The 26,911-nt window shown below is 36.3% G+C and overlaps 1 protein-coding gene across 6 annotated transcripts in view; it reads right to left on the reverse strand.

Moving 5' to 3' along the window:
* CLINT1 (clathrin interactor 1) overlaps positions 4,844–26,911 on the reverse strand; it is a 73,399-nt gene continuing 51,331 nt past the window's right edge. For 2 of the 6 annotated variants that reach the window (NM_001195556.2, NM_001195555.2), the window contains exons 7-12: positions 24,963–25,209; positions 22,747–22,816; positions 13,995–14,069; positions 10,800–11,092; positions 8,460–8,664; positions 4,844–7,089 (exon numbers count right to left, since the gene is read on the reverse strand). In NM_001195556.2, coding sequence (NP_001182485.1) covers positions 6,743–7,089; positions 8,460–8,664; positions 10,800–11,092; positions 13,995–14,069; positions 22,747–22,816; positions 24,963–25,209 — 1,237 coding nt within the window. In that variant the 3' untranslated portion in view covers positions 4,844–6,742. Of the gene's footprint in view, positions 7,116–8,459; positions 9,538–9,696; positions 9,749–10,799; positions 11,093–13,994; positions 14,070–22,746; positions 22,817–24,962; positions 25,210–26,911 lie in introns of those variants that run through there. The other 4 variants (NM_014666.4, XM_017010087.2, XM_011534701.4 and 1 more) reach the window with 4 other exon arrangements.

The raw sequence follows: 26,911 nt of genomic DNA on the forward strand, positions 1-26,911 counted from the left end.
TTTTCCATTAAACAGAGTATTTTTTTCCTCCATCAAAAATAAGGTAGTTCAGCTACTGGCAATCCAAGCAGGGTTTTCAAATTACCAGGTATTTCTAAATGCTCTTTAAAACCCTACTCTAAAGATGCCAATTCAAATATTCCCTGAAGAACTTAAATCTAGAAATTCCATTTCTACTTTTATTTGGTAGCTGGACATCTCAATTCTATTTCTCAAGTGCAAGAATCACAGCAGCAGATGAAAAATGGCCGAGAGCATGCAATATTTCCAATTGTTGAGTGCACTTTTTGAAATGGATTCCTCAGCCAAGCAATTCCATGCCATCCACCTTTAGCCTGCGAATTATTCTTAACATATCTTTTGATCCCTTGAGGTGCCTTTGTGTTATATTACTACTCCAAATCTGCTGGATTTTTCTGCTCTCGGATTTGGCTAAGGTCTTATGCTAAGTTATGTCACCATTTCTACAAGACAGAAGATTTACCCTTCAGAAGAGATCAGTTTTTATTTGCTCTGTGGCCCATCTCCTGCTGTTGACCTTTAGAAAATGCAAATAGATTACATAAACATTTCAGGGCTGATTTTAAAAACATAGTAGTTAACAACCCTTTACTAGCTGTCTACCATGTGTGGAACGTTACGTGGCATCTGGGGACAACGTGATCAGAGCGCAGGGATATGCAAGAAAAAGCTGACAATTTATCTGTGTGGCATGTACAATCTCCAAATTCAAAGATCTGAAATATTAATAGAGGGGAATGAGGACAGTGCAGTAACACTGAACTTGGATTCCAGGGACCTGTCCTAGGAAATGTGGCTTTCATAACTACCTTGATCTCTCAGTCAGTCTCAGTTTCCTTGTCTGTAACAAGGAAATAATAAGTGTCTTAACTTTTTGGCTTAGAGTTATTGTGAAAATCAGGCAAGAAAAGAGTGTGAATCCACTCTGTAAGCTGTAATATGCAAATGCAAGTTATCACTATTTGAAATACACAATTTGCATATAAAAACGGTCCCTTAGATACAAACAATTCATATCTTTCACATATAAATGAACTATTAATGCATTTCAGGTTAAATAGTGAATATATCGAATCAATATTACCAATTTTCCATTCAAGTTTCTTAAAGCCCAAGTAGAGTGAGCCCTATTCTATATGACAAGTATGGCAAGGAAAGCAAAAGGGGCCTTCAGAATATTCCATTTCTGGTGGTGATAACCCCCTCTGGGGAACTTTTGAGGAGAATAAAGTAATTATTTCTCTCAGCACACCGAACGCGTTACTAACATGGTCCTTGCCTATCTCCCTGATTCCACTCCTTTTATGCAGAGCTCCAGCTACATCTATGAGCTTCTCTGGTAGCTCTTTCTCCACAAGGAGTCCTCACACGTGGAGTTCTCCGTGGCCGAACGACACTCTGTCTGGCTTAGCATGGTTGTCCCCTTCTCATCATTCTTCAGATCTCTGTGTAAAAGCTCCCTTCTCAGAGGGGGCATCTGGAGTGATCCCACCTAAATTAGGCCTCTGCTCCTATTCTTTTCTAACAGCACCATGACTAGCTCCTTCAGAACACTTAACGCCTGTCCACACTTCCATGTGATCTTACAGATTAGTTTCTGTTCCAGTTAGCATAATACGTAACACAACTATAGAACTATTAAATCAGTAGACATGCACTGTGTACCAGAAGAAATCATCTCAAAAACTGAGCAAATGCTATGATGTCACCAATTTTTCATATTCAGAATCCAGGGGGGCAAATCTCATGTGACAGGCATTTTGCTGACGACTGGTGAAAGGCAAAGCTAAATTCTTTGTACCTCAAGCAGGTCATCTTATAACCAGAAAAAATCAAGTAAATGGATACATAGTATACTAGAGAATCATCTTATCTGATAACTCTACATAGTTGCAGTTGCCAAGCCAGGATGGGGACCACTGAGGGGCCCTGAGACCATTCCCAGAAGTTGCAAGTTCCAACTTTTTCCAATCACCTACCCCTGAGACCAGACTTGTTTCACAAACTTCCTCCAAAATAACATATCACAGCAGATTGAATGCAGAAACAAGTAAAAGAGCCCAGCTACATTCTATTATGTTGGTGCAAAAGTATCTGCAGTTTTCCCACTGAAATGCCAAAAACCACAATTACTTTTGCACCAACCTGGTATTATGTCAGGTATGAAAGAGATTCGCAATAATGTAAAACCATGCTGCTGTTCTCAGAAATTTTTATTTTGGAAAATATAGCTTATAAAGTTGCAGTTTGTTAACACATAATAATGGGTTATTGTGAAACCAATTAATAATTTTAAAGCTTTGCACTTTATATTTCAAATAAACATTGATAGATGCAACCCACATAAATAACAGCTCCTTGAAGTCCTCAGTTTTTAAGGTTGTAAAGAGGGATCTGAGACCAAAATGCTCCATAGACCAACTGTAAGCACTCTTACTTCATTACAAAGTAGAAAAAAGTGTGCTTGGAGCATTTAAAGACCACAACTGCAAGATGTACAGTTAAGAAAAATCAGGCCAGGTGTGGTGGCTCATGCTTGTAATCCTAACACTTTGGGAGGCCAAGGCAGCAGGATCACTTGAGCTCAGGAGTTCGAGACCAGCCTGGGCAACCTGGTGGGACCTTGTTTCTATTAAAGAAATAAAGAAAAGAAGAAAAATCAAATGGAAAGGAAAAGTAGGATTTCATAGTTCATAATTCAGTTATTTAAAATGACATTTAAAGAACAGGAAACAAAACCCACTTTTGCCCTTCAGGGCTTCAAATCCCTGGGAAGGTAAACCTTCAATTGGCCATGTGCTGATCTGCCGCCCATTGGGGTAAGCAAGCCCAGAGAAAGGGCTGCGGTAGCTACTCATGGCTCCACGGGAACAATGTATTAGGCAACGCTGCCATTTAATAAAGGAAGACACACAAGAATTAAGGTCACAGGCTGGGCAGGATGGCTCACAACTATAATCCCAGCACTTCGGGAGGCTGAGGCAGACTAATTGCTTGAGCCCACGTGTTCAAGGCCAGCCTGGGCAAAACAGGGAGATCCTGTCTACTAAAATTAAAAATTTAGCCAGGTGTGTGGCACACACCGGTAGTCCCAACTACTTGGGAGGCTCTTGTGTAAGGATTGCTTGCACCCGAGAAGTTGGGGCTGCAATGAGCCATGATTGTGCCACTGCACTCCAGCTTGGGTGACAGAGCAAGACCCTATTTCAACAACAAAAAAAGGAATTAAGGTCATAGTGAGTTAAAAAATCCTTTCATGGATTTCATTTAGTCTTTATATCTGATTGCTCATCTGGGTATTAGAAGAATAGCAAGATCAGTCAACAAAACTGCAAGTCAATCAATTAAAAAACTGATCTCTATAGCTTGTAAAAGTGGAGAACATTCTAATGAGAATTGTGTGGCAAATCCTATACCAAGAGCTCACTTTAATAGCTCTCTGCCTCACATCTAAACTAATGTGGTAAGAAACGACTCAATACATTCACAGAACAATTCATTTACAATTTCCTTGACAGTTAAAAAAAAAAAAGTGGAGTTAAATTCATGCAGCTAGTAAAACCCCTTAATTAGAAACCAACTTACGAGTCTCTCAGGCTTTCTTTACTATACTCTGGTTTCAGGAATAAAACAGGAACACAAACTTTTGAATTTGCTGTGTAAATTGACATGGGAAGTGTTTAGCACAGCGACTGGCACAAATAAAGTTGCTGATATGTAAGCATTTACATAAAGAATGGGAGGCAGAAAAACATGCACTGCACATATGTCAGTGCTGGTGGACCTCACTCATCATTTATTTAATTATCCAACATTTCAAGACTTAAGTTCATTTTGGAAAAAATGAGGGCCTAGAGAGGTCAGGTAAATTCTCAAGGTCATGCAGATGGTGGGTGATTGAAATGGGCTTCCCAGCACATGGTCTTTCCACAATGCAGTCAGGGCTGTCTTCAGGAGAGCTGAAATACACAGCATTTACCTCAGAAATCCATTTAATATAAGGTGTGCTCCATGCTTAGTATAGATTTAGCTGTATTTCCTAATGTCTCAGCTAGGAAACTATACCACCGTGCTTTATCTTCAAAATGAGACACTGCAAAGTTCAGAAAGATGGCAAATTCTTTAATTCATCTGCCAAAAAGAAAAACTGTTTCATAAATATTTGAGAGAAAAAAAGTACTAACCCTTCCCTCCAAATGTAACTATGGCCTCAACTTGCTAGTGATTACCCTCAAACCAATAGTATTATGGTTATCATTCAGGCAATTAAAAAAAGGAAACACCTAACCAAAGTACTATTTAAAAACAGTGTATATGGTTCTCGAAGACATCAGAGAAGTGGGGGAAAAAAAAAAAACCCTAGAGGGAAGGAAACAAAAATGAATCTGGAGTGGCCGTGTAGACTCACCACACATAAATTGCTGGAACAGTATCAACCTTCCCCTCACACCATTAGGCAGAATACAAAATTGATACAAGCAAAAAAACTCTGGTTGAAGAACGAAAGGGTATAGGATGGGCTGAAGGAAACCCAATAATGAAAGAAAGGAAGAGTATTTTCTCCCCAACTCCAAATGATTTGGGGGTATTTGTGCCTTTCTTCAAGTATAACTTAGTAACCCCTTCGGAGACAAATCATTAAACTGGACAGACATTCAGTGAGACAACTGTTGTTTTTCTCTTTCACGGGCTCTGAAAGAAAAATACTGATAAGAAACTATAAGTTGAAGTTCAAAAAAAAAAAAGATATAATGTAGGAGGGCATGATACAGAAAATGCTTTAGAGGTCAATCTGATTAGAGAAAGAATTAAAACACAAAGGTTCAGATAAACATTTACTTCGTCTAAGAACCATACATATTTGAGAAAGTGAAGATATACTTCTTAAAGAAAAAATTTACTTAAGATGATCGGTTTTAAATATCAGGGACCATATTCTACTATGCGGCCACCAGAGGCTGGCTTGATTGCTCTGAAGTAACAACACTTGAAAGCTCCTATTCTTTGAAACTAAGTTAAACACATTGAATTGTTGAAAGATTAAAAACCGCAGTCAGCTAATTACACTCACTCTCATCTCTTATTCAGCAAATGAATCACTTTTCATTACCACTTAGCTGAAGTACATGAATTTCTGCCTAATTAGAAATGTTGTAGATGGAACATTAGCAAGAATGGAGCAGGTCAGGATATCTTTGCTGCTTCATTTTTAATTCCTAACAGTAGAGTCTGATAGGAAAGAATAGAGAAGTCATTAAATAATTTTAAATTATTTATAAAAATTACTTTGCCCAAACTATAATTATTTTTTCCCCAAATGGTCTCAAATGTCTAACAGAACGAAAGAAAAAGCAGTTCAACATTGATTTTAATGAACATTTTAATGTTATGTATAACAGAACATTATGAATATAATGGAAATAAAGTTTTATCAATTTAATAAAAAAATTTTCAACATAACATGGGGAGGTAATAATTTGATATCTATATTATAGTATTTATTTTGAAAAATATTCCCAGCTTGAGGGTAAAACAATTAATTTTGCATTCCAAACTCTAGAATCATGATTTTCATGTGAGCTTAATGCAGAATTACAGCAGAAAAACAAAAACATTTTCATTAATTTCCTTTGTCATTAAATCAATAAAATCTTTGACTGCTACAGGTCTCCTTTAACAATATATATTTAACTCCTCTATTGGAACCATATTGCTAATGCTGCATTATATACACTCAAAACCAAAACAAAACAAATACTGTATAAAATCTAAAAGCAAACATTGAGTTGTAACATTTATATTTAACTTAAGGTTTTAATGGATTTTTACCTTTGCAGACACCCAAAAAAAAAATAAAATAAATATTTTTCTGACTGTTCCTGACTTAAATGATGGCTACAGGGATAAACACGGAAGGAAGCCTTGCCAAGTTAATCACTGCAAATTGTAAATAATGACTGCTAAAAACAAACAGAAGTTTTTTTCTTTTAAAGGAAACCATAGAGCAGTCCTGAAAAAAATTTCTTCCTAGTTCTGCACAGGATAATTACAGCAGAAGACATGGGAAAAGTCCCATGGCAATCACCAATTGCTTAAAGAGGTTTTGTTACAATAAAAATTTGGATAGTATAATAGCAGTGTTGCTGGAACATTAGCAAAAGTATATACATTCCAGTTACCTTTGATTTAGCCATAATCACATATGTATGCTTTTTTTTTTCTTGGACAAAAATATATATTTTTATAAAAAACTGATCATCCAACTTTAATGATTTCATATATGGACTCAAGAGTGGTAGTAAAAGGAACAGACCCAATTATGACAAGGCGATCCAGGGACAGAAAAATCAAGTTCCTCAGGAAAAGAAAGTATAAAATTAGAGATTCAAACACATTTATTCAGCCCTATTCCAGTCTTCCCACAAATTATGCTGTTAAATGGACTCTTCAGTTGATAAAGGCTTTCAATGGTCTCACCACCCACTTGTGGTCTATCCTCACTGGAAAAAAATGATTTTGACTGCCTCATCTGAAGTGCTCTTGCCTGGCCCTCTGAAATACTGGATATTTCACTTTTATAAAACAGCCTTTTTGGTTCTTTATGTAGATTTATTTTAATTACTTGATAAAAGAAAGGGTAGTTGATTAGCATTTTCCATCCCAACATCACCTATCTGCACAGCTAAAAATTCTTCATTCAATCTGCTTCTTTTACAATCTCTTATTTGCTAAAATTGGCGAAATTTGCAAAGGCATCTTGCTTGGGTTGCACAGTTCCAGAAGTCATGGCTATGTTGGGCATGCCCATTCCCATTGTGCCTGTCAAGCCCATCCCAGCAGCGGACATCCCTATGTTCATGTTCATGCCCATCATGCTCTGGTTCATCATCGGAGTATTTCCAAGAGGGGCCATTCCCATGGTGCCAGTCATCACATTGGGCATGCTCATAGGCATGGGTCCCCCTATCAAAGCATTAGTTTGGGGCCGGACAGGAAGCATGTTCGATGGAGAACTGAGGTTCACAGCTCCAAAACTTTGAGTCATCACATTCATAGGCTGCTGCATATCTACCAGACGAAAACAGACAGAAGAACTTTACCACAATAAATTTTTAGGTTCATAGAACAGAGAACTAATAACTTCTTGACCATCTATCTATACTTCTTTAGCCCCAATAAAATTCCTTTACAGTGATTTTATTAGAAATCAATTACTCTGCACTGGTTCCTCTTGAGACATATATTCAGTGACTATTGGCTCTGGTTCCCCAGAGATGTAGAAACAGTAAGAGTAGACTGGGGAAAAACAGCCAACTTAAAAACATTCCTACAAAACCTATTGTTAAATCCTACTTAACAAGTTGTCAAGAGCTAGTGTGTATAAAAAATCTTTCAAAGGTTTACATCCTTTGACTTATTCTATTTTTAGAACATTCTATTAAAAAAATCAGAAGTATGAAGATTTATACAAAAATCTTTAAAAAGTTTATATCCTTTGACTTATTTTTAGAACATTCTATTAAGAAAAAAACAGAAGTATGAAGATTTATACAAAATCTTGATTTATAATAACAAATAGCTGGAAACAATTGAAATAATTAGCAAGGGAAATCATACACTAATATAACTATCAAGAGCTAACAATCATTTTCCTAAGAATATTATTCAACACAGGGAAAATGATAACTTAATGTTGAATAAGAAACAGTATAGAGAGAATGATCCCAAGTATTAAAAATATGCTTAGAAAAGATGGAAAGTGGCCAGGCGCGGTGCCCCACGCCTGTAATCCCAGCACTTTGGGAGGCCAAGGCGAGTGGATCACTTGAGGTCAGGAGTTCAAGACCAGACTGGACAACAGGGTGAAACCCTGTCTCTACTAAAAATATAAAAATTAGCCAGGTGTGGCGGTGCACGCCTGTAGTCCCAGCTACTCGGAAGGCTGAGGCAAGGAATTGCTTAAAACTGGGAGGTGGAGGCTGCAGTGAGCTGAGATTGCACCACTGCACTCTAGCCTGGGCGACAGAGCAAGACTCCATCTCAGAAAAAAAAAAAAAAAAAAAAAGAAAACATAGAAAGAAATATGTATTAATGGCAATTACCCCTCAACGGCAGAATCAGATGATTTTTGTTTGTCCATCGTATTTGCCTATATTTAAAAAAAAATCTGTATAGCAAATTTTTATTTTAGTGATCAGGTCCTTAAAACTCTCCACAATACAATAAATGTTATCAGGACAAGAATAGAATATAAAGTAATTCAATGTGCCAGGAGGAATACCCAGTAAATATTATGTGAAAATATCTTAAGTGAACAGGCATTTGGTTAACTGTTACAATTTATGTGATATATTTTTATTTATAGTTTGAAGTAGTCCTGGCATTAAGGCAAAAGACTGCAAGTACACAAAGAAGTGGGACGTCTTAAGGTAACTTACTCTGTTGCTGAATCATTGTATTCAGTGATGGCTGCTGGGGTTTGGAAGGCTGCATACCAGGTAGTAAGTTGTCTAGGCTGATGTTTACACTGGGGTCAGACCAAGTAGAGGGCAAGGTTTTGCTGACTGATTTCTGGACCATATCTGTATTCTGATTATAGAGAGGATTAGGCTTCTGCAGCACTGTGCTAACATTTTGCAAAGGCTGGAAAATAGAAAAATGCTCTAAAAATTAAGCATCTGTTCTATAAAAATTATCAGATGGCAATTTAATCACAACAATGAACTTCTGAAACAAAAAGAACCACTAATGTTCTATGCTAATGTCTTCAATACCCTGAATCATTAGCTTCCCAAAGAGGTTCCTCTGAAGTCCCAATCAGGTTTGAGGTGGATAAAACCAACAACTTACCTACACTAACAATTATTCTCCCATCACTCAAAGTCTAGAAGCCACCATCCCTGGCAAATGCCCAGGGGAACTACCGATTTTAGGTTAGTACAGCTTTAAGGAGATACACAAGTGGACATTTATTCTTTCAAAACAGAATTCAGAGGCCAGGCGCAGTGACTTATGCCTGTAATCCCAGCACTTTGGGAGGCTGAGGTGGGCAGATCACCTGAGGTCAGAAGTTCAAGACCAGACTGGCCAACAGGATGAAACCCCATCTCTACTAAAAATACAAAATCAGCCAGGCATGGTGGCACATGCCTGTAGTCCCAGCTACTTGGGAGGCTAAGGCAGGAGAATCACTTTGAACCAAGGAGGTGGAGGCTGCAGTGAGCAGAGATCGTGCCACTGCACTCCAGCCTGGGCGACAGAGCGAGACTCTGTTTCAAAACAACAAAACAAAACAGAGAATTCAGGATATGATGTCTCACATTATACAAGGATATAAGGCAAAACTGTCAAAAAGCAATTTATATTTCACATATCCTGACATTTTGCTGTTCTGTGTATACTTTTACTATCTAAAGTGAGCAACACTAACTGAACTGATTAATATATGGAACAATGTAGGAGAAAGAAGAAATTCAGGAGAAAGAAGCAGAGGTTCCTAGTGGTTATTGAGGATAACTGAAAAGGACAGAAAAAAGGAACAGGAAGAGGAAGAATAATTAAAAATGTACCAATGCAAAGAATTATGACAGTTACAATTAAGACTGCAAATAAAGTAGACTGACTTTATGCTTAACTCATACATTAGGTCTTATTTCTGTTACATAGAGCAGTCACCTTTCTGCTTCTTTCTTCTTTTCCTTCATCCTAATACCCCAAAGACGAGAATCTACACATTAAAATGAGTAATTAGCATCATAAACACATATTCTCAATAGTTTGAGTCAAAAATAGCAAGTTCCTGGTACCATTCAGACACATATTTTCCAAGCCTGCACTTGTCTGAATTCTAAGCTAGTACTAGGTAATTCGGATTTAACTATAAAATAGTGAATTAAGAAGCTCCCATTTTGGTTGTTTTTCTTTATGAAAATGAAAGTTGAAAGATGAGCCTATAAAACATTTATATAATGTAGAGCAGGTCCAGAATTGGGAAGAACATTCACCATTCGAGAGAATGATTTTCCATATTAGCAATAATTATTTACAACCAATGAGTGATATTTCTTTAGGGACATGACCAGAAATTTTACTAAGTGGATACTTGCCGTAAGTGAAACAATATCTCTATTTCTTTTTCTTTTCCTTTTTTTTGAGACGGAGTATCACTCTGTCGCCCAGGCTGGAGTGCAGTGGCGCGATCTCAGCTCACTGCAAGCTCCACCTCCTGGGTTCACGCCATTCTCCTGACTCAGCCTCCCAAGTAGCAGGGACTACAGGTGCCTGCCACCATGCCTGGCTAATTTTTTGTATTTTTAGTAGAGACTGGGTTTCACCGTGTTAGCCAGGATGGTCTTGATCTCCTGACCAAGTGATCCACCCACCTCAGCCTCCGAAAGTGCTGGGATTACAGGGGTGAGCCACTGCGCCTGGCCTATTTCTTTTTCTTAAAGACAATTTAAAAAAACTATCAAGTACCAATTTGTTGTAACAATAAATTTTTGCCATGTTCCTCCTCTGTGCAAAGGCACCATGCTTGGCTTTACAGTGACTACAAGATGGGGGAGAAGGTCTTGCCTTCCAGAATGCAAATGACTATGCTAGGGGAGAGTATGAGGTAAATGAAATGTGCAAATGCGTATATATACACACACAGACACATATTCATACACATAAAAAGGACTTGCTTATTTTTCTGTTTTATACTAATCTATCATTCAATGAGTTAGAGCATCTCAAAGATTATAAATAACAAATTCCAAGGGAACCAGACAACTTACCTGTGATCTTGACATAGGCAAACCAAGTCCCACAGTGTTAGTGCTCATCATAGAGAAATTCATACTCTGGGAAGATGTCATGGTTGCCTGGGACGAGCCCATAAGATCAAACAGGTCTGAAGAATTTGAGGCAGCAGGAGGTGGGCCTAGAGCTGATTGTGAGCCACTAACAAGTTCTACCGCTGGCTGTGAGGCACTGCCAAAGAACTCGCCACTGGAAGCAACAGGGCCTGATGGGGCTTGGTTGAAGGCACTCCAGTCACCAAAGTCTCCATTCCCACTTGTTGCTGTTACTAAGACAGAAATAACTCTAAGGGTAAGAAACTTCATGGAATGCACAGAACAAATGTAACAATCTATGAACTGAAACAAATTAGAGCTGATCTGAGTCCCCCAGATTAACATCTGCAGGTACCATCTCCATCTGGACAGTATTCTTTCTCATAAATATTACACGAGAGTTAACAAGGTGGCAAAGAAAAAACAAACCTCCCAAATATAACGTAAAATCCATCTCTTGGCAGCTCTGTAGGTGACACATTGAATTTACCATAAAAAAAAATGGCCAGGCATGGTGGCTCACGCCTGTAATCCCAGGACTTTGGGAGGCCGAGACAGGTGGATCACAAGGTCAGGAGATTGAGACCATCCTGTCTAGCACGGTGAAACCTCATCTCTACTAAAAATACAAAAAAATTAGCTGGGTGTTGTGACACACACCTGTAGTCCCAGCTACTTGGGAGGCTCAGGCACAAGAATCGCTTGAACCCGGGAGGCGGAGGTTGCAGTGAGCTGAGATTGTGCCACTGCACTCCAGCCTGGGTGACAGAGCGAGACTCCGTCTAAAAAAAAATGAAGAATTTCTCACTTATTTGGCCATACTTCCACTGACAATACAAGGGCTATAACCTTAGCACATTGCCTGCTTCAACTGGGACCATTTATTTACAATCAAAGAGAGGAGGAAAACTCATGTAATATTAAAAAACACAACCAAGCCAGAAACAAGCAAAACCCTATCATACTTTGCAAGTTTAAGGTTGAATGCATAAAATCCATACTCTTAATCACTACAGTCTTATCAATTAACCTCTGATCAATTTTTATATTGAAAGGAACAGATAAATACGCATAAATGGAAGTTGAAAAAGCAAAATGTGAAGAAAGAGCTACATAAAAACCGTCATCTGAAAGCAAATAGTAAGTATGTACCTTCCAAGTTAATTAACACCATCCCTTTGCATTCCATGTTCATTTACAACTTGGAAATACATTTTGTCTAGCCTAAAAAGTGACCAACCACTACAATACCATGTCTCATTATGCTAAATATCAAAAGAGAATAATAAGGTGAAGTCTTTAAAATTACATTCTTCTATTACCATATTAAAATGTAAGCACCCTTGAAAGAGAAAATAATTCACTTAGAAACTCCAAGTTCTACTAACAATTTAATATAAAAATTGGGCTAATTTCTTTACCTCAGGGTTTTACTAATACACGTCTTTGATCTTTTTTTTTTTTTTAAGTGACTGCATTAAGAGTTTTACAGTTAGTTCTAGATATTAAACAATTTAAACTAAGGCTGCTGGATCAATGTAAACTTTTATGCTGATTTTCTATTTGCTTGATCTATAATGCAGAATATGAATGGAAACTGGGGCAAAATGTGTTGCCCCACCTGAAAACTTCATATCTGAAATGATTAATCGTGGGAGGAAACGATTTCTAGTGGGGCATATATTATTCAGAAATGATTAATCATTGTTGCAATGGTTTCAGCCCCCTGCGTAAGGTGGTCAGGTTATATTAATCACATGCATACAGATGAAGAGATGTATCACTTAGGCAACATTAACATATTCAAATTATTTGCATAGTAGGCAACTTTATATACATAAAAACTTTGAGAATTAGACAGGGAAGCTATAAAATAAGGGTAACGTTTACCTTCCACTTTGGTTTGCCTAAAGTAAAGTATTAACCCTTAGATGGCATATTCTTACTTTCAAAATGAAGCAGAAAATTACTCAACAATTCTAGTTTCTGGGAAATACTTGGAATTTACAAAAATAAGTAGTCAAAATAACCCCAAACCATTTTACAAGCTATGTATCTTTTTTCTAACTCCTCACAAACCTAACCAAATATTACTAAATATAAATTTTAATCCAGTTTAATATAACAGCAATAGATTATGTGACTTGTGATGAGTAACAACACTAACTCAGTCAAATTACATCTTTTCTCCCTGCCTCACCTCATGTTTAAGATTCTCATAGCTAAATTTTAAAAATATTGTCTCAAACTTCAGACTGACCAGATTTTATAAAACAAATACCACAACCTCTTCACAACCTTAAAAAAAAATAAAAAAGACACTTAATACTGAATGTAGCCCCTATTCTATTAGGTTGGTGCAAGAGTAACTGGGACAATTGCACCTAATACATACCTCTATAGACACTATCCTCAAAAAGAACCATGACAAGCAACACCGTTCCCAGTTTTAGAAAGTTGAAGGCTCGAAGGCTTTCATAAAGTTAAACAGCTACCATATGGCAGGGGTAATAAGATAAAAATATTAATTAAAAAAAAAATAGGCCTTTCACCTCAATCCTTGATGTTTAAGCCCATATTCTGTTTGAATGGTTTTTTTGTTTTAAAATTCTATTCTAATAAAGAATGAGAAAGTTTTGCATGAGGTTCAACTGCTCATTTTAGGATATGTCAAAATGAAGTTCAGTTATTTTTCACATAAATGCTTTTAAGATATCTAAATTAAAAAGGAATGCATTTTAGTAAGATAGTTGGCCTGATCCCAGTGTTCCTTTCATTCATGAAAATCATAAGCTAAACTAAACACAAACTATAATATTCTTGCTGCTATTAAATAAAATGAGATGATACAGAGATACTCACATCCTCCTTTCCCTTTCAAAAAAGCTAAACAAGAGTCACCTATGAATATGGGCAATTTTCTTTAGATGTACCTGAGTAGTCTGTAACCAAAATAATTCATTTGGCACATTTAAGGCATCTGCCCAATAAAATACCTTGTGAATAAATTCTTTAGGAATTATGAATACTACAAGGAGAAAAATGACAGAAAGAAGCTGACTTGGGGGGAATGGGAGTTGTTTTTAATAACCTTTTTACCACCCTAGACTTCTGGCCAATCAAATTGAATCATACCTTGGGAAGGGAAACTGCCTGATGCAGCAGCTGAGCCAAAGTCAGCAAATCCTCCGAATAAATCAGCTGATCCTCCTAGAAGTTAAGAAAAAGTTAAAACTGTTAGAACTAGAGAAAAATTGTAAATAATTTCTGGAGGCCATTTTAGTGCCACACAAAAAGTACCTAATATTAGAGGCCCAGATGCCTCACAAAAGCTAAAGCTAGTCTGTTGACCTAGATTTTCATGTCACTATGTTCCCTATGAGCTACCATAGACTCTTTTCCCTTCCTCAGTCCTATATCTAGTAAGATAAATGACACTGTATCTGTTGTTAAAATTATCTCACTAATATTTCACAAGCATAATGTGGAAATAATACAACTTATCTAGCCAATTATGCTCTTTATAAGGAGTCTTCAATGGATTCTAAAACCTGAGTAAAATGCTGCTGGGGAATAAGATATTCACAAGACAAGTAAATAAAATGCAGGATCCTTGATTGGACCCCGGATTTTTTTTTTAATTGCTATCCTGAAATGACAGAATTGAGACACTGGGGAAATCTGAATGTGGTCTGTATATTAACATTAATACTGTTTTAATGTTAAATCCCAAGTATGATTGTATCACAATCATAAAGGAGAATGTCCTTGTAAAGAGATATAGGCTGAAGTATTTTAGGGGCAAAATGTCATGATTGCAACTTCCTCTCAGATGATACAGATGAACAAACAGTACACAACAAACAAATAAAAAAGAACGAGAGAGAGAGAGAGAAAGAAAATGGGGCAAATTTTCCGTATGCTTGTAATTTTTAAAAATAAAAAGGGAAGAGATGAAGTCCACTTGTATAAAATCATTTTAGAGTCTGGTGTGGTGGCTCATGCCTGTAAATCCCAGCACTTTGGGAGGATGAGGTAGCAGGATCGCTTGAGCCCAGGAGTTGAGAGATCAGCCTGGGCAATATAGTGAGACTTCGTCTCTACAAAACCTTAAAATATTAAACTGAGCATGGTGGCGAGCAGCTGTAGCCCCAGCTACTCGGGAGGCTGAGGTGGGAGGACTGCTCGAGCCCAGGAGGCAGAGGTTGCAGTGAGCCAAGATTGCTGCGCTCCAGATTGGGCAACACAGTGAGACGCTGTCTCAAAAAGCAACAAACAACAAAACAAAACAAAACAATTATTTTAAGCAGAGAGAGGGAGAAATATCAATACAATAGTTTTGGTGGACGGGTTTTCCCCCGTAGTGTTTACTCCATAAAAGAGTAAATACTTGTATTTTGTATTTTTAATGCATGGGAAAAAAATAGCTTTTTTGCTACTTCTAGATAGGTGTTTTTAAAAGGGTAAGACCCAAATTATAAGTCTGCAAATCAATCTCTGTGTGCGTAACATTACATTCTGACATAAAATTTTATTTGTAAATACTACATGGGTAAGAATATTTACTTTTACCTATAATTTCAATTATAACATTATTTCAAGTTGTAATATTCCTTTTTTTCTCAACTTTAGTGAAACAGACCAATATCTGAAACTTTAAATAGTCGTCCTTATTTTTGTCTGTCCTTAAAGATTTCACCTCTTAACAGTCACAACCTTAGAAGTCTACAGCAGTTCAATGATGGTGCTTTTAGTGTTATGTGAACATTATATAGGTTACATCACAGCTGCTTAGGCCGCAGTGCTTAGAAACTAGCCAGGTGGGACTGGAACATCTGGGCTGCACTCAAACACCACCAGGGACAGCTTCCAACATCTGGTGCCATTTCTGAATTGTCTTATCGCTGAAAGACATTCTGCCCCATCTGCTACACTCAACTGGGTTAATTAAACTAGAACCATCTCCCCTTCTTAATATATGGCCAACAGTAATAAAAGGAACAAATCAGTTTCTGATATGTGTGTACTTGGTATTTCTTTTTAATGCATATTTACTGTAGTCAACTAGCAGCAGGCATAACTAATTCCTCATTTCTTCACCACAGATGCACATGCTCATACATACATATATATATATATATATATCTCCTCACTCACCAGTTGACTAATGCCAACCAAAGTGAAGGTGCTTCAATTCTATCTACACTACAGCTTAGTCTAATTTTTACTTCATCTAAAAGAGAGTATCACAGTGATCTGGTTTTCTCTTCCTTAAAGGTACATACATCATGATAAAATGTGACAAGGAACACAAAAGTTCAATGAGTTATACATGTTTAAACCATTTAAACAAGCACACATATTAATAAAACCTATCAAGTAAATGAATACTTCAAACAGCTGCTGCTTAATATTCGTAAGTTTGTTTTCTGTAAAGTAGTCCTTTATGTTAAAAACATTGGTCAAGTATACTGTTGGGTAACAGAATGATAGTTAATCAATTAATATAACATTAAGGGATTTAAAAATTAAAGATTATTTTAATTTGCTTCATTTAAGCAGTGAATAAACATCAATATATAACTTATTATAGCAAACAAGTTAGGAGTTAGGGATTTTCTTTTCTGTTTTTCTTTGTTTTTGAGACGGAGTTCCACTCGTCACCCAGACTAGAGTGCAATGGTGCACTCTCAGCTCACTGCAACCTCCGCCTGCCAGGTTTAAGTGATTCTCCACCTTCTGCCTCCCAAGTAGCTGGGATTACAGGTGTCTGCCACCACGCCCAACTAATTTTTTTATTTTTAGTAGAGACGGGGTTTTACCATGTTGGCCAGGCTGGTCTCGAACTCCCGACCTCAAGTGATCTACCTGCCTCAGCCTCCCAAAGTGCTGGGATTACAGGTGTCAGCCACCGCCCCTGGTGGAGTTAGGGATTTTCAAATCTTATTCAGTCTAGGCTACAAAGAAAATACATGTTGAGGATAAAAGCTGTAGATCACAACTTCAAACTGGTAAGAAATTTTATTTCTGACATACCCTGTATTTAGTATTTCAGATAATTACCTATCTTCTATCACCAAAACAGAAATTATATGATGTTCATAACTTATCTATAGCAAATAGTATTCCTCTCCATCTATATTACAGGGATTTTGATTTCAACATGAGTAGCTTAAGAATATTGGGAGCAAAAAATGGAAAGATGTATGTAACTATTTTACAAATAGAAGTTGTCTTTCTCTGAAAATGTTTTTTCTCTCTAATCTTTTAAAGTGCCACATATTATGCTTTTACTGGTACTTTAAGAAATGTGATCTTCAACTTTGAAAACTGTCTCAAAAATTAAAAATCTCTTTATTTAGAAAATGTTTCTCTCCTAAGACTATCCATATCTGTATGTATGATATTCATACCAAATTCCACATTCATTTTCTATACTTAAGCATTTTCCCAGAAAACTTCTATCTAAATTTATATTCTAAAGGAATATAAATAAAAGAGTCTACCAAAAATTGCTGCATGTGGAAGACTGCTAATTTTCACAACAAGTGCTATCCTTCAAGATTCCCACATGAGAACTGTCATTATAAATGAACCACTTCCATCTGCCTTTCCAGGGCAGCAGGGAGGTTATTTAGTCACCAGCTGGGAACATGTATTTCCCAAAGCAATATTGTGAACAAGAAAATACAGGTAAACTAGACAGTACTTAAACGACAAATGGAAATTTTCTTTGACAAAAAAATTTAATCTAGATTACATTAAGACAAACTTTTGCATGAAGAATTTACACAACATTAAAGCAATGGCAAAGTGCAAAAAAAATGTAAATACATGACAAAGAATTATTATCTATAATACACAAGTTTTAGAATATCAATAAGGATGAATACTCCTAATAAATAAAGAACATGAATAGATAGTAACAACTGGCCTATAAAAATATGAAGTGTTCAAACTCAATCATCAATGCAAAATAAAATGAAATATTATTTTCTCTTTACCAAACTGAAAAAGCTTTAAAAGGTGCTATTGTACTACAAAATTTTGGAAAAATAAAAAAACTAATGTCTAGAAAACAAGGGATTAACTGGCTAAATTATAATATAGCCACCCAATGTAAGATTATAAAGCAATGAAAAGTACTATAAAAGAATACCAACTATCATAAGAAAATGGTCATGAGATCTTAGGTGAAAAGCAGTTTATCAAAATATATAAATAAATGACTAAAACCCAGAAAAACCCAAACAAATGAAAAGTCATATCTAAAAGCCTGAAAAAGATCTGCCACATAATAAATGCTTAAATAACTACATTAATGGAATATGTAGAAAATGTATTTTAAAAAGATATTCACCAGATTAATACTTTATGTGTCTAAATTATGGTAAATCACTTGTTTTCCACCAAATTGAATGTGCATTACTTTTAATAATCAGTGAAAAAGAGAATATACTGAAAAAATTTTATTTTCAGTAAACTTAGTTTAAAACTGGAGACAACCCCTACCCAAATGATAAGTTAGTGTACTAAGAATGGAACAAGGTGAGTATTTACATGTTCATGTAAATGTCTTCAACTAACTAGCGATTACTGGGTACAAAGCAGCAGGTTCAAATGTAAATGTAATACACATTTCGGATTTGATATACCTTAATCCTTTTAAATGTTTCTTTTTAACTTAAAAACATTCAAAATATATTGCAAGTCATTTAAGTTCTATCTGTATTGATTATGCTGAATTTTCTCAACCTTATTTATTGTACTAGAAATATCTAGTTTAACAGTATGTTAATCAAGACCTAAATTTCTTAATTACAAAGGGACAAAAGAGACAAGTTGGACTTCTTTTTAAAGAGGTGAGATAAACTAAAAAAAGAAATGGGACAGTTTTTGGCATTCTATTTCTAATTGGCTTATTTTCTAAATATAGTCACACATTTCTCAATGACAGAATGCATTGGGGCATTAGGCAATTTTGTCATTGTGCAAACATCATAGAGGGTACTTACACAAACCTAGTTAGCCTACTACATACCTAGGCTATAAGGTATAGCCTATTACTCCTTGACTTCAAATCTGTACATCATGTCACTATACTGGATACTGTAGGCAACTGTAACACAATAGAAAGTGTTTGTATATCTAAACATAAGAAAGGTACGGTAGAAATATAGTATTGTATATGGGACCATGGTCACATACTATGCAGTCCATGACTGTACTTTAAATTATTTTTCATTTCTTAAAATGTTTACTTAGAAATGTACTTTATGTAAAAGCAACTGAAACACCATGTGAGTACAGGTTTTAAAAGAATATCACCACAAGGGGACATTTTATTAAGATATGAGATAGTCTCAAGTAAATCCTGATAGTTAGGTTTTACATATATATTTTTAAACTTGGTAAGATATTCTACAATGATTTTACCATATATACTTTTGAGAATGCTAAGAACATGTAATCACACACACACAAAAATCTGAACATTTTCTCAGAGGATATATTTAGCTGGTGAGTGGTACAGATGCCATATCTGCTTAGCTTTACAGTTTGTGCCCACATTACTTGCATGATGGTACTATTATAAATATGGGCACATCTGGTAAATGACACCCAAATGACATACCAAATAGCAATGTTAATATGGTAGATTCTTATACCTTCTCGTGTAAGTGCTAAAGATTTAATGCCCAATTTCCTTTCACTGCTGAATTCAATTTAAAATATATTATTAAAATATTTAAATAGAGATTGGGAGTAACTAAATTTATGTACTGATTGAAGAGGGAGCTGCACAAACTGGTTAAACATACGGTTTCAAATAGGAGATAACTTTAATTTTAAAAAATTCTTCTAATATCAATCTCTATTAGTTGCTTTTTATTAAGATAAAATAAAATTTAAGGCAAGAAACCTCCTAGATTTCATTCAAACTTTCTCAGTTACTATATTAATATCAATTGCTACTTCTATTTAATTAGTCAAACTACTGTTTGCACTGGAGAAGACAAACCACTCAAAGGTTCCTTGCCAAGTAAAGGAAGCATGTTGGTATTTAATAAATCTCTCTGTTCAAAGCAATCTTGATGTCACAGAGGAAAAGTTACATCCACCCATCTGACCTTCCTAGTTAATTCTTCTCTGATTGCTCCATTAAAACTTTTCACAGATGCATGAAAGGGGCCCTTTAAATATTTCATGCCAGGAAGTCCAAAATAGTTGATATTCTGTGACACTATATCTGTATTATATGACTACATGCTAACTACCAGTTAATTCTACAGTTCAAATCTTAAACATATAAAAATATATCACATAAATTGTTACACAACTAATGTAGCTGTCCGTAACCTTGGGCATTACAGTCCAATCAAGTTTAATGAATAATTTTAGGAACAGTTTGCAGTTACAGAAAAACGGGAAAGGGAATTGAAGAATTTCAGAAAGTAGGCTGGCCAGGCATGGTGGCTCACGCCTGTAATCCCAGCACTTTGGGAGGCCAAAACAGGTGGATCACCTGAGGTCAGGAGTTTGAGACCAAGCTGGCCAACATGGAGAAACCCTGTCTCTACTAAAAATACAAAAATCAGCCGGGCGTGGTGGCGCATGCCTGAAATTCCAGCTACTCAGGAGACTGAGGCAGGAGAATCGCTTGAACCCGGGAGGCAGAGGTTGCAGTGAGTCAAGACTGTGTACTGCACTCCAGCCTGGGCAACAAGGGCGAAACTCTGTCTCAAAAAAAAAAATAGAGAAAGAAAGTAGGTCAAACCAGATGTCTGGGCTGGGTGCAGTGGCTCACACCTGTAATCCCAGCACTTCGGGAGGCTGAGGCAGGCAGATCACCTGAGGTCAGGAGTTCGAGACCAGCCTGGCCAACACAGTGAAACTCCGTCTCTACTAAATATACAAAAATTAGCCAGGCATGGTGGCAGGTGACTGTAATCCCAGCTACTCGAGAAGCTTAGGCAAGAGAATTGCTTGAATAAAGTTCATGCCTAATCCAAGAATTTTAACATAGTAGGTAAGGAGGAGGAAATAATAGGGGGCTTTATATTACATTAATTATACTAAACTATCAGTGAAAAGTAATTTCCAGCATAGACTTACACTTAAAGGTTAAGTTAAAGTTTTTTTTTTTTTGAGACAAGAGTCTTGCTCTGTCACTCCAGCTGGAGTGTAGTGGCATGATCTCAGCTCATTGCAAACTCCACCTCCTGGGTTCAAGCGATTCTCCTGCCTTAGTCTCCTGAGTAGCGGGGATTAAAGGTGCCCATCACCACGCCAAACTAATTTTTGTAGTTTTAGTAGAGACAGGGTTTCACCATGTTGGCCATGCTGGTCTTGAACTCCTGACCTCAGGTGATCCGCCTGCCTCGGCCTCCCAAAGTGCTGGGATTACAGGTGTGAGCCACTGTGCACAGCCACAATTCGGCTTTGAAAAATCATTACACACAACTGGGAATAATAAATTTACTTTGCACATTAGTCATACCCCCATCTTACTGTCTACATTTTAATGTGAAATGAACTTAGGCTTGGAAAGACTGTCTTTAAACAGAAGATGTATTTGTTAAACTATTTTGACACGTCACACAATAGTTTATTAAAACTCCATAATCATCAAATACAACCCTAAAAATATCAATTTTCTTGAAAACAATTGATCAGAAATTACTCAAAATCTAGCACATACTGGAAATCAAACTGAAGAAATCATCAATCTCATCTATGAGAAATTCAAGGTAAACAGTTCTTTTGCTGTAGCCCTCTCTTTTTTTTTTTTTTTTCCGAGATGGAGTTTTTCACTGTTGTTGCCCAGGCTGGAGTGCAATGGCGCAATCTCCGTTCACTGCAACCTCCGCCTCCCGGGTTCAAGTGATTCTCCTGCCTCAGCCTCCCGAGTAGCTGGGATTACAGGTACCTGCCACCATACCCGGCTAATTTTTGTATTTTCAGTAGAGACAGGGTATCACCATGTTGGCCAGGCTGGTCTCGAACTCCTGATCTCAGGTGATCCACCTCCCTCGGCCTCCCAAAGTGCTGGGATTACAGGGGTCAGCCACCACGCCCAGCCGCCCTCTTTAAATATGTTTGGTAGTTACATACTTTCAGAGAATGTCATTCCTCTGACTGAAGCACTTGCCATTGTTTATCACTAGATAACTATTTGTGACTCTGATTAATGATTATTTTCTCCACTTGACCTTCGCATGAGGACAACAACTCTGTTTTTTACAAGCACCCAGATCAGTGTCTGGTTCAACAAATATTTGTTCAATTAAAAGAATAAAAAGTTAAATGATCTCTAGGCATGCCCAAGGTGACAGCTGCAATTAAAATTTAGGGAAAGACAGTAAAATGCGCAGAGCAGTACCTTTTGCTTATAAAGAAAGTAAAGGCAACAGTTTAAATGCAATTTTTTGTTTCTCCAAGTTAATCTTAAAAATTAAAAATGGAAACTATAGATTCCAAAATCTATGATGAAAAATTTCAGAAAGTACATGATGCCTTGAAATACTATTTATTATTAATTAGGGAAGACACAGTACATCAGGTATGAGGAGTCATTAAAATCTAAGTATGATAATGATTTGAGGATACTATTATTAACCACCAATAAGTACTGACCACAAACAAAGTTTTGCTAGTCTGAGGGTGGGTCAGAAAAAGGTATAAAATAGGGATAGAGAAATGGGTGTACATATAAAAAGATAAGCAAAAATAACACAATGATTCCAAATAATGCTCAAGACTCACTAATTTCATATAAAAAATGAACCCAATGCAAATAAGTAATCTTATTTTTCAATCTATCTTTTATTTGGCATTTTAAAAAATGACTCTCAAACCAAAAGAAAAGGCCAATGTAGAAGCTTACCTGTTGACTGGCTGGTGCCATCAAACAGATCAACAAGGTCACCAGATGACTTGCTGCTAGGCACTGAAGTCTGAAAACACACACATAACTCAGGAGCTTCGAAAAGTTTGTTTTTCTAAAAATCAGCTCTATCCATCTCTAATTCTCAATTTAGACATAAATACCTGTAATTAGCTTAATAAGGGTAGGGTTTTCTGGAAAAAGAGTACTGACCTTGAATCCTTATGGAGAGGCAGCAAGCACTTTTAAGTACCTCCATTCCCAGCAGTGTAAAAGTCTCTTAACATTGACACTTTTTTTCCTACCTCACTTTTCTGACTGCATTTCACTCTGGAAAATATTAACTGCCAGATCCCACTTGAATCTTAATGCTAAGTATCAGTTCATTAAAAAAAAAAAAAAAAAAAAATACCCTAGCATATGTACCAGTCCCATACAATACACTGAGTCATAATTGCCCAGGTATAAAAAGGCCAAGACCTTGGCCTGTTAAAGTCTTACAAGAAAGCTCCCTAGATAATTCCAAGGCTTGAGATCCACTGGATTAGAGGTCAAGATCCTAAACAGCTCTAAATTTCTATGAACCTTAGCAAAACTTATTGTTTGTATATCACACAAGTTAGTATAATTCTATGTTATTTGATATATTGATATGTTTCATATTTAGTTCCCCAACTAAACTGAGGCCTATACCTGTAATACTATTTTTATCTTCTCCACAAAGCTAAGCACCCTGATACCTAAATACCTATGTCCTATATGTTAGATATATACATGCTAAATTAGAACTCAATTATTAGGCAATGGGGAAACCCTAAGATCCTAGGCATGTTGATTTGAACTTTGAAAACTAAAATACTATATACTGTGATTCCAAAACACCTTTAAGAACAGATCCAAATGAGTTGGGTAACTTTCTAAGAACTTCAACCTTCTAGACATTTTTTTTGAGGGGAGGAGGGTAAATGAAAACAAAAAAGAAAAAGCTTGTACTGCCGGGCGCGGTGGCTCAAGCCTGTAATCCCAACACTTTGGGAGGCCGAAGCAGGTGGATCACTTGAGGTCGGGAGTTCGAGACTAGCCTGACCAACATGGAGAAAGCCCGTCTCTACTAAAAATACAAAAAAATTAGCCGGGCATGGTGGTGCATGCCTGTAATCTCAGCTACTCGGGAGGCTGAGGCAGGAGAATCACTTGAACCTGGGAAGCAGAGGTTGCGGTGAGCCAAGATCGCGCCATTGCACTCTAGCCTGGGCAACAAGAGCGAAACTCGGTCTTCCAAAAAAAGAAAAAGAAAAAGAAAAAGCTTGTACTACAAATATAAAATATTTATTGCAGAGTGTCATATATTCAGGCTATACTACAAACTGTTATTTAAAATCCTTTAAGATATGTGATAAAAGTCTCTATTATTAAAAAAATTATACAGATATTTGGCAAAAGCTGACATGGTATTTGTTATTGCAACTAAGCAGGCCTGGTTTTATTTTCAGAGTCACCTACAATCTGCTGCATACATTAGAAAACTGTTTTTCCCAGCTTTTAGCTATTTCTCTTGCAAAGACACAAACTGGGGAAACAGTAGTCGGGGAAAGTGACAAAAACAATAATTTAGTCTTTTGAGGCAAATCTCCCTATTTGGCAGATTTCTGTTGAAAAGACTAGGGTTTGGCCAGGTACCTAGCAGGTGGATTTCATCTCTATGGTAAATAAAAACAAACGAAGATGGTACAAGAGGCAGTGCTTCTTTTGATACTGATCAGTAATGACTGTGAGGCAAACACGCCTCCCTTTATAGGCAACGTTTCTACATTACATGAGATAACTTGCCCCTATATATCTCTTCTTACTCCCTCGTTTGTCATTTCTTAAAACTTTCAAATACTTCCAATGTTTTCTTTAGTGAATCTACTTGTGGTTGGTAACCAGTATTGTCTAGATGGGGACAGAGGCACTACATTCTGATTCACAACCTTCCCCAAACAAACCAAAAGTGTCATTTCTACTTTCATAGAAAGTACCCAATCATTCAGCAATTGGACAGGTTTCTCCCCTCAAAGAGATTTCTTATTATTAATGTCTCTTGGTAATACATGCCAGATGATCCATAATTAATATGATTGCCTAGAAATGCCCAAGCCTACTAATGCAGGAATTCGAAGAGCGGTTTATAAAAATAAAACCATGTATAATGTGTAAACTACTGCCATTCCCACCTTAACTGAAGACTGAGGTGTGTGGGTTGAAGCATTCTGATCTGGACTTGCTTTGTCCCCTGTGTAATGTGCTGCTGCTCCAAGATCAATGGTTTTGGAAGGATTTGCTGTGCGCTTGTGTCTGGTTGTGGTGGTCTCTGTGGCCTGTGTGATATGAATATGCTTTGTCGTCACAGTCTCCTCTTCATCTTTGAATTCACCTTTGGGAGATCTGCCTCTTCTCGCTTTCTTTTCCTCATCGCTGTCGCTAAAAGATATTAAAAATGAAGCAAAATAATAAGACGGGATTATTTTAAAATGGGTCCCTCAGTGATTTGAGCTAAAGAATTTCAAATACAGTAACTCCAAAATTTCATACTTTGACTACTTGACAGGGATCAACAGAATGTTATCTAAGCTGTCTGAATAATGATATATGTGCGCTGGGGAGGGGAAGTGGAAACACAGAGAATATCCTATATAAGTCTAAAATACTGCTACAAAAAAGTATTTACATAAATGTGTATAAATAAAAAATGTCAAAATAACTCGTTTTTATTACAGATTTAAGCTTAACTTAAAAATAAAATAGGATTTGATATCAGAATCCATGATAAGACCCTGAGAGTTCAAACACTTGCATGTGATGATTATTTTCTTGACATGGACTGTGTGCAAATTACTATAGTTCCACTTTTACAACACAATTCTGCATCAACTCTCAAAGACTAATGTGTGTACATAATAAAATAATAAAAGTTCAATGGATGCTAAAAAAATCACACATCTTAATTCGAATAATTAAACTCATCTGTAAATGCATGAAAATATAAGGGAATGCACTTTACAACTGTGCTATTTTACTATAGTATCAGGAGATCAAACTTTTATATAACTATAGAAAATGCTTTCTAGAAAACAACTGTATTTAAAATATTTTAAAGATAATTCTCCTTCAGCCACATTCAACAATTTTTTCTTTCCTTTTTCTTTAATAGTGAAAAAGATTTTAAAAACTAAACAGTAAAAGCCTGGGTTTTTCATATGCTAGGAATGAAAATATCAGCCCTAGTCTGTTCTCTAGTAACAAGTCATTGGGTTTTTTTCTGATGTAAGTAGGAGAGAGAGAGAGAGAGAGAGAGAGAGCGAAAGAGAGAGAAAGAGAGAAATGTTACTTGAAACATGTTCCATTACCTGTATTACTTAATTTTAGAGTAGGTGGTTTAATTTATAAATATTCTGGAATATAATGTTTAAAATTCTCCTTTAAACTGCTGATGCAATTTACCTCAGACTGAACTATAGCAACTTGTACTTAAATATAAACCAATCTGGAACTTGTATAAATCAAAGATCAAAAAGAATGACTTCCCACACAGAGCAAAGGGGTTAAATATATTTTTATATATAAACATTTTAAGGAACCTACAAGTTCTGATACGCATTCAAAAGCCCTTACTAACTTCTCAACAACAAATGACCTGAAGATTCCCATTAGTCCTACAAGTAAAACTGAAATTTCTTACTTTTTTGGTGTCCAATTTTATTTCAGCGCAAAATAATTTATTCACAAGTTGAAAATATAAATCTGACTAGCACACGATGAAATGGAAGCTCCATATCTGATCAATGTTCAAGAATTCCTGAATGTAATAGTGAACTAATAAGTATGAAATTCAGGTAACATGCCATCAGGATTGAGGTCATATGCAACTCTGTCAAAAAATCTACTCTTCTCTCACAAATACTTTAAGATAAAAAGTTCCTGGTGTGCCCTATCATTATCACGATAAATCATGTTCACTGCATTTTCACTCTTTTAAACCTAAATACTCCTTAAAGATTTAGAAACTCTAGGAGATCCTGTCTTAGAGGCAACATAAAAAATAAAAATCATGGGAGAAACAGAAATAAAAGAAGAGTAGAGAGACAAAGAAAAGAAAAACTAAGGATAGAAGGGCAAAGGAGAG

The sequence above is a fragment of the Homo sapiens genome, chromosome 5 (genome assembly GCF_000001405.40).
Source record: "Homo sapiens chromosome 5, GRCh38.p14 Primary Assembly".
Classification (NCBI taxonomy): Eukaryota; Metazoa; Chordata; class Mammalia; order Primates; family Hominidae; genus Homo; species Homo sapiens.